The following is an 8,592-nucleotide window of genomic DNA, read 5'->3' as shown; positions in this document are numbered from 1 at the left end:
AGTCAGGGGGATGGACATCCCAGCCAGAGGAACCTCAAATGCTAAAGAGCGAGAGGGAGGCTGCTGCAGCTGGAATAAGTAGCCAGGTGGATGGAGGTGGGCGGGGTGTGGTCATAAGTAGACGGTTGGATGATGGTATTGAAAAGGAGGGTCTTGGCCGGGCGCAGTGACTCACACCTGTAATCCCAGCACTTTGGGAGGCCAAGGTGGGCAGATCACAAGGCCAGGAGTTCCAGACCAGCCTGACCAACATGGTGAAACTCTGTCTGTACTAAAAATACAAAAAAAAAAAAAAAAAAAAAAATTAGTAGGGCGTGGTGGTGCGCGCCTGTAATCCCAGCTACTCAGGAGGCTGAGGCAGGAGAATCATTTGAATCTGGGAGGCAGAGGTTGCAATGACCCGAGATTGCGCCATTACACTCCAGCCTGGGTGACAGAGCGAGACTCTGTCTCAAAAGGAAAAAAAAAAAGGAAAAAAAAGGGTCTCCTTCTTCCTGCTGCAAAGTGATTGAAGTACCAGAACATTAAAACAAGAGCAAGAACTGGATATGAAAAAAGTCATCTCATAAAGACTGAGTATCTTGTAGAGACAGTGTAGATGAGAAAGTGTATATGTGAACTTTATGATTTTTTAAGGGTATAAAACTTCTTAGTAGAAATTGACAGATAGAGGAGGATAGTAGTACAGTTCTCTATTTCCTTTCCATATTTTTTCATGAAGGCTTTCCCCTGCATCTTTTATGCACATCCCTCTTTCCATGTGTCTTCTGTCCATCCTAATTTACATGTGACTTCCTTGTATCAATTTTGAATTATTATTCTGTGAGTTCATACATTAATTTGGTCACTTTGGTAATATTAATGTAAACTATTGCACAGCCATATTTATTGGAAGGAACTGAATTATACATTTTTCTTCCCTTTCCTCCCCTCCCCTCCCCTTTCCTCCTTTTCCTCGCCTCCTCCTTTTTTTCTTCTCTTTCCTCTTCTATTCTTCTCTTTTACTCTTCTCTTGCATGTGGGAGGTAGCTGCTTTCATAAACCAATATACATTCGTGCTGCACTAGCCTGGTGATTGCCGGTCCCTCTCTGCTGGGTGCCTGATGCCAGGCTGGAGAGTAGCTACCACCCAACTGACAGACTGAAAAGCAAACTAGAACCTACAGAGTGATGCCCCAAAATATATATTAGCTACAGTCTGGGGTTGCTTTGCTTATCATTGCTCTATGATATAGACAGAATTCTTTTCTACCTCTCTTTGGATAATAGCACTCACGTGAAGAGACAGGTGCCCTCCTGTAGATTACACAGCATATATGTCACACTTCTAATAATAACAATGGTCAAAAGGGTGATTTTTCTTCATGCTTGGCACTGTGCTGAACAATTTAGATGTATTATCTCATTGAATCTTTACAATCTGTGAGGTGGGTATTATAATTCCCATTTTATAGATGAGAAAACTGAGGCACTGAGGTAAAATTACTTCCCCAGGGTCACTCATCTATTAAATGGCACATTTGGGAATGCATCTAAGATTGAATGAGACCAGAACTGAAGCTCTTGAACTCCACTACACCACTTCCCTAGTTACAGTAATTCACATTGTTTTTTTTGCTTCCATTTCCATCTACCCACCTCCCACCATTGCTCTATGAATTTCCTGAGAATAGAGACTGTATTTATTCACCTGTGTCTGCCAAGCACATGGTTAGGAGTCCGATAAAGTAAACAATTGTTTTCCCCACCTGAATTCTAAACCAAATGAGGGACAAGATGAAAGAGTAAGACAGATATTGATTAAAATATCAGCTTTATTACCAAGGATGACTGTGCTGCAGGAGGCGGCTCAGTGTGAAGAACTACGGGTTTCCTGATGTTGAAGCTCAGAATTAGCCACACTGACCTTCTCAGTCATGCATGATGCCAGGAAAATCACAGGCTTCCATTCTACAGTGAAGGGCTTGGAGGAGCAGGCAATAATCTGTGGAAAGAGGAAGGGGCTGAGACACACCTGGCTGACCAGCCTCTTATCTCAGTATTATTAGGTGGGAGTGCCTGGAGGGTGAAACTAGTGGAGGTCTTTTCACGTGGAAATAGGAAGCTCAGGCCAAGGAGGTTCAGACCGCCTTCCCTAATCTTAGTACCTGGAACTAAATGTTCTTGAATTAATTAAGCAGGAGGGTTATAGTAAGAATAAGAGTTAGCTTTATAATAAGCTGTGCAATGTAACACAATAAATCAGCACTCTGAAAGCTGAGAGCCCAAATCCAGAGCATATTTGGGGAGAGAACTCAGGTTTCTTAATTTCCTTCTCAACTGCATAATCCACTGGTATACAGAAATCTGCCCCTCTTTTAAGCTCAGGTTTTTATTTAGGGTTGGATTGGGCTGGTTGGGGAGCCAGGACAACCTGACATGTTTTCTGGGTCCTGGGGGAAGGGGTGCACACCTAAGCCCCAGCTAGCTTTGAAGGACATCACTGAGAAGAGGATCCCTTGTGAGAACCAGAATGTAGTGCTGGCTGGGCATTGGGCATACCTGTGACACTTTGTGGCCCGGTGGCAGGGCACAGCCCTCAGCTCTAGAGGAGAAAACAAGAGAGCAAATCTGAAGTGTAGAGTTCCACCAGCTGCCCAGAATGCTTCACCTTCCCATCAGAAGACATCAAATCATGCCCAAGTCCTCCCAAAGCACCAAGATGTTTACAAAATCTCAGAATCTGCTCAATCTCATCCAACTAATTCTTCTTCCCTCATCAACTCATTGAATTCATTTGTGTCAATATTTTACTTTGGAGAGGTGGGAAAACACCAGAACCTCTAAACCCGCCAGCCAAAACACTAGAGCATAGCCATGAACAGAATTTGAGTCTTCTTGGACAGACAGTCTATACTCAAAGAAAATAATCTTTTTGCTTAAATTGTCTAAATTGGCCCTTCTAGCTCTAAGTATGTTGAATGTTGACCTTCCAAATTGCTCTGGCTCTACTGATCCAGGGGTGTTATATTCTGTTGTCAAATAAGAAGTATGGAATGAACACAATCTCAGGAATAAAAAATGGCTTCCTTTCATCTGGAACTCAAGGGTGATAGCCTAGCCTAGCTCTATTACTTGATGTACAGACATCTGATTGAAAGGGCTAACCAAGACTGTCTTATCAATCAGCTATTTACTTCCATAAACATTACTTTACAGATTTTATCCTATCCAAAAATGCTGAAGATGTAATCAGGATCAAAACAAAAACCCCCACCTGTACATTAATCATTCTAATACAGTCTGAGCCTCTGCTTCGCAGCATAGTAGTAAGAGGTTCTGTCAATGGCTTCATCCATCTGTTCTGGTTTGCTTTGCACAGATAAAATCAGTAACCAAGAATCAGAGATTTTACTAGTGGCCCCAGCTCTCTCACAAATAACCCAGTGAGGATCAGGAAAAAAATAGACCAAGGATGACTCAGAAAAATCCATTGTCTATGGGAAAGACATCAGAATAGATACAAACGACAGTAACATTAGTTTAGAAGGAGCATAAGTCTATAAAATGTTATCTCCGGAGCTGAGTTGTTCAAACAAAAAGATAAAATCTTGAAATAATGGTTAAATTTGTATAATCTACTGTGGAAAGTTCCAACCCCAATTGTGATATCATCCAAAGCCAAGTTAAATCAGGCGCAGTGGGAATGATGCTATCTCTGCCCCTGGTTCCAACTAGATGAACACACCACCTCCAAAAGCACTAGTGCCCAAGCCAGTTGCCAACCAGATATTATCTCTAAAATCATAGGACAAGAGCAAAGCTGTTGTTCTGCTCACCTTCAGCAAGATAATAAATATCAGAAAGTAGTGTGTGTAGCTCATGGGATTCAATTTCACATGCCTGTTAAATTCAGAGAAATAAGGGTAACTGACGGCATTCTATTTGGCTAAAACAGATTAAATTATTTTCCCTGGAACAAACTGCCGAACTCAGGTATTATGATTTTGAGGATATAAAAAAGAATTGATGTAAGAACAAGTGCTAGTTAATGAAAAAGCAACAACTCTACTGCTAGAAAATAGTTTAACATTTCCACTTCACCAAACTCTCCATACTATCTTTCTTATGATCACTGACCAAAGTGCTTTTCAGAGGTACATAGTTATCAAAATCATCAGTTGTCAAAATAGTTACTTTTGCATCCATTATTCAGATTAACTAATGATATTGTTAAATATTTTTTGTAATCCTTTAAACTAGTTAACTATGAGGTGTGAAAAATTACAACTGAAAACTATCAGAGAGAGTTACCTATTTTCAAGAATGTTACCATAAAATTAACTATGTTTTGAAAAAAATTTTATTTTAAAAACATAGCAGCATCTTCCAGCACATATGAAGCTTGAAAGTTACCACTTTGACCTAACAAAAAGTGAAAAGCTGAACCAACTGAAACATCAACAGTTCTTAGATCTCTTAGTCTGTCTAGTGTTGCTATGTGCATTGTGCACATGTACCCTAAAATTTAAAGTATAATAATAATAAAATTTTAAAAAAAAGAAATATCTGAGGCTGGGTAGGTAATTTACAAAGAAAAAAGGTTTATTCAGCTCATAATCCTGATGACTAGAAAGTTTAAGATTGGGCACCTACAACAGGCAAGAGCTTCAGGCTGCTCACACTCATGGTGGAAGGTGAAAGGGAGCCTGTGTGTGAAGAGCTCAAATGGTGAGAGAGGAAGCAAGAGTGAAAAGGGAGGTGCCAGGCTCTTTTTAACAACTGGCTTTTGCGGGAACTAATAGAGTGAGAACTCACTCATCACCATGAGGATGAGGACACCAGGAGGACCCAGTCAGTGGGTGATTTTTTTTCTTTTCTTTTGAGACAGAGTCTCGCTCTTTCACCCAGGCTGGAGTGCAGTGGGGCAATCTCGGCTTACTGCAAGCTCCGCCTCCCAGGTTCACGCCATTGTCCTGTCTCAGCCTCCCTAGTAGCTGGGACTACAGGCACCCACCACCACGCCCAGCTAATTTTTTGTATTTTTATTAGAGACGGGGTTTCACCATGTTAGCCAGGATGGTCTCAATCTCCTGAGCTTGTGATCCACCCACCTCGGCTTCCCAAAGTGCTGGGATTACAGGCGTGAGCCACCATGCCCTGCCGTCAGTGAAGAGTTGCCTTCACTGCCACCTTGTGAAGAGATGATTCCACCATGATTGTAAGTTTCCTGAGGCCTTCCCAGCCATGTGGAACTGTGAGTCAATTAAACCTCTCTTCTTTATAAATTACCAGTCTCAGTTATTTCTTCATAGCAGCATGAGAACAAACTAATACAGTAAATTGGTACCGAGGTAGTAGGGCACAGCTATAAAGACACCCAAAATGTGGAAGCAGCTTTGGAACTGGGTAACAGGCAGAGGCTGGAATAGTTTGGAGGGCTCAGAAGAAGACAGAAAAATGTGGCAAAGTTAGGAACTTCCTAGAGACTTGGAGGGCTCAGAAGACAGGAAGATGTGGGAAAGTTTGGAACTTCCTAGGGACTTGTTGAATGGCTTTTACCAAAATGTTGACAGTGATATAGACAATGAAGTCCAGGCAGAGGTGGTCTCAGATGGAAATGAGTAACTTGTTGGGAACTTGAATAAAGGTCACTCTTGCTATGTTTTAACAAAGAGACTGATGGCATTTTGCCCCTGCCCTAGAGATCTATGGAACTTTAAACCTGAAAGGGATGATTTAGAGTATCTGGTGGAAGAAATTTCTAAACAGCAAAGTGTTCAAGAGAAAGCAGAGCCTTAAAGTTTGGAAAATTTGCAGCCTGACAATGTGATTGAAAATAAAAACTCATTTTCTGGGGAGAAATTCAATCCTGCTGCAGCAATGTACATAGGTAACGAGGAGTCAAATGTTAATCACCATGACAATGGGAAAAACGTCTCCAGGGCATGTCAGAGACCTTCATAGCAACCCCTCCCATCATAGGTCCTAGGGCCTAGGAGGGAAAAATGGTTTTGTGGGCTGGGCCCAGGGCCCCCCTGCTCTGTGCAGCCTTGGGACATGGTCTCCTGTGTCCCAGCTGCTTCAACTCCAGCCATGGCTATAAGGGGCCAAGGTATAGCTCAGGCCATTGCTTCAGAGGGTGCAAACCCCAAGGCCTTGGTGGCTTACATGTGGTGTTGGGCCTACAGGTACACAGAAGTCAAGAATTGAGGTTGGGAAACCTCCATCTAAATTTCAGAGGATGTATGGAAATGTCTGGATGTCCAGGCAGAAGTTTGCTCCAGGGGTAGAGCCTTCATGGAGAATCTTTGCTAGGGCACTGTGGAAGGGAAATGTGGGGTTGGAGCCTCCACATAGAATCCCAGATGGGACACTGCCTAGTAGAGCTGTGAGAAGAGGGCCACCATCTACCCGACCCCAGAATGGTAGATCCACTGACAGCTTGCACTGTATGCCTAGAAAAGCTGCCGATATTCAACACCAGCCTGTGAAAGCAGCCAGGGGTGGGGATGTACCCTGCAAAGCCACAGGGGCAGAGCTTCCCAAGGCCATGGGAGCCCACCGCTTGCATCAGCATGATCTAGATGTAAGACATGGAGTCAAAGGAGATCATTTTGGAACTTTAAGGTTTAATGACTGCCCTATTAGATTTCAGACTTGCATGGGGCCTGTAACCCCTTTATTTTGGCCAATTTCTCCCATTTGGAATACATGTATTTACCCAATGCCTGTACCCCCATTGTATCTAGGAAGTAACTAACTTGCTTTTGATTTTACAGCCTCATAGATAGAAGGGATTTGCCTTGTCTTAGATGAGACTTTGGACTTGGACTTTTGGATTAGTGATGGAATGGGTTAAGGCTTTGGGGGACTGTTGGAAGGGCATGATTGTGTTTTGAAATGTGAGGACACCAGATTTGAGAGGGGCCAGAGGAAGAATGATATGGTTTGGCTCTGTGTCCCCACTCAAATCTCACCTTGAATTGCAATCCCCATAATCTCCATATGTCAAGGGTGGGATCAGGTGAAGGTAATTGAATCATGGGACTGGTTTCCCCCATGCTGTTCTCATGATAATGGGTGAGTATCACAAGATCTGATTGTTTTTATAAATGTCTGGCATTTCCCCAGCTTGCACTCATTCTCTTTCCTGCCGCCCTGTGAAGAGGTACTTTCCTCAATAATTATGAGTTTCCTGAGGCCTCCCCAGCTATGCGGAACTGTGAGTCAATTAAACCTCTTTTTTTTATAAATTACCCAGTCTCAGGTATTTCTCCATAGCAGTATGAGAACAGACTAATACATCAACCTAAGTGTGGGGAGGGGAGACTAAGAAGCATTTGTGAAGTTCACAGTCCAGAGGAACAAGCTTACTAAGGACTGAGACCTAATCATAGAATTATAAAATGCTTCCTCCCCTCAACATCAGACCACCACACTACTAAAGGCCTATTTACAGCTGTTCCTTTTACCCAGTAAATCATGTCTGGTTATCAAGAAAAAATTACAAGGCATACCAAAAAGCAAAGCAAAAACAAACAAAAAAACAAAAAACATACACACACACACACACGGAGTTTGAGCTGACAGAGTAAACATCAGCACCAAACTCAGATATGGCAGAAATGCTGGAACTATCAAACTGTGAATTAAAAATAAAACAACTGTGATTAAAATGTTAAGGCTCTAGTAAATTACATAGACAACATGGAAAAACAGATGGACAATGTGAGCAGAGATATGAAAATTCTAAGAGAGACTCAAAAATAAATGTTACATTAAAAACACTATAATAGAAATAAAGAATGCTTTTTGATGGGCTTTAATAAACACATAGACAGCATGCAAAAAGAGATGGACAATGTAAGCAGAGAGATGAAAATTCTAACAAACACTTAAAAAGAAATGTTGCATATAAAAACACTGTACTAGAAATAAATAATGTTTTTGATGGGCTTGTGTGTAGACTGAACATTACTGAAAAAAGAATATTTGAAAAGAAAAAAAGACTAAAAGAAAGAACAGAATATTCAAGAACTGTGGGACTACTATAAAACATATAACATACGCATAATGGAAATACCAGAAGGAGAAAAAAGAAAGAAAAAGATGAAATATTTAATGCAACATGATTATGAATTTCCCACAAGTAGTGTCACATACCAAACCACAGATCTGGAATGCTCAGAGGACAGCAAGCAAGATAAACACCAAAATAACAACATGTATACATATCATATTCAAACTATGGTGTATCAAAAATGAAAAAAAATTCTGAACAAAACCAGAGGGAAAAAATGCCTTACCTATACAGGAGCAAAGATAAGAATTAGATCTGACTTCTCAGAATCCGTGCAAGCAAGAAGGTGGGGGGTATGAAATACTACTGTTAAAAAAAGAAGAAAAACACCAACCCAGAATTCTGCACACTGTGAAATTTTCACCCAAAAGTGAAGATGAAATAAAGACTTTCTAAGAAAAAAAAGTTGAGAGGATTTGTTGCCAGTATTTCTGTCTGACAAGAAATGGCTTTTAAGTGTTCCTCAGAAGAAAAAGTATATATGTCAGAAACTCAGGTCTACATAAAGAAAGGAAAAGCATTCATAAATG

The 8,592-nt window shown here is 41.2% G+C and overlaps 1 long non-coding RNA gene across 5 annotated transcripts in view; it reads right to left on the bottom strand.

The window, feature by feature from the left end:
- Positions 1-1,794: 1,794 nt before the first annotated feature.
- The window catches only part of SLC38A4-AS1 (SLC38A4 antisense RNA 1), a 268,904-nt gene continuing 262,106 nt past the window's right edge, over positions 1,795-8,592 (bottom strand). For all 5 annotated transcript variants that reach the window (NR_125378.1, NR_125379.1, NR_125377.1 and 2 more), the window contains one exon: positions 1,795-1,984. This is a non-coding gene — a long non-coding RNA (SLC38A4 antisense RNA 1). The remainder of the gene's footprint in view (positions 1,985-8,592) is intronic.

The sequence above is a fragment of the Homo sapiens genome, chromosome 12 (genome assembly GCF_000001405.40).
Source record: "Homo sapiens chromosome 12, GRCh38.p14 Primary Assembly".
In the NCBI taxonomy this organism is placed as follows: Eukaryota; Metazoa; Chordata; class Mammalia; order Primates; family Hominidae; genus Homo; species Homo sapiens.
Note: the sequence above shows the minus strand (reverse complement) of the source record. Positions and strands in the feature narration are given on the sequence as shown.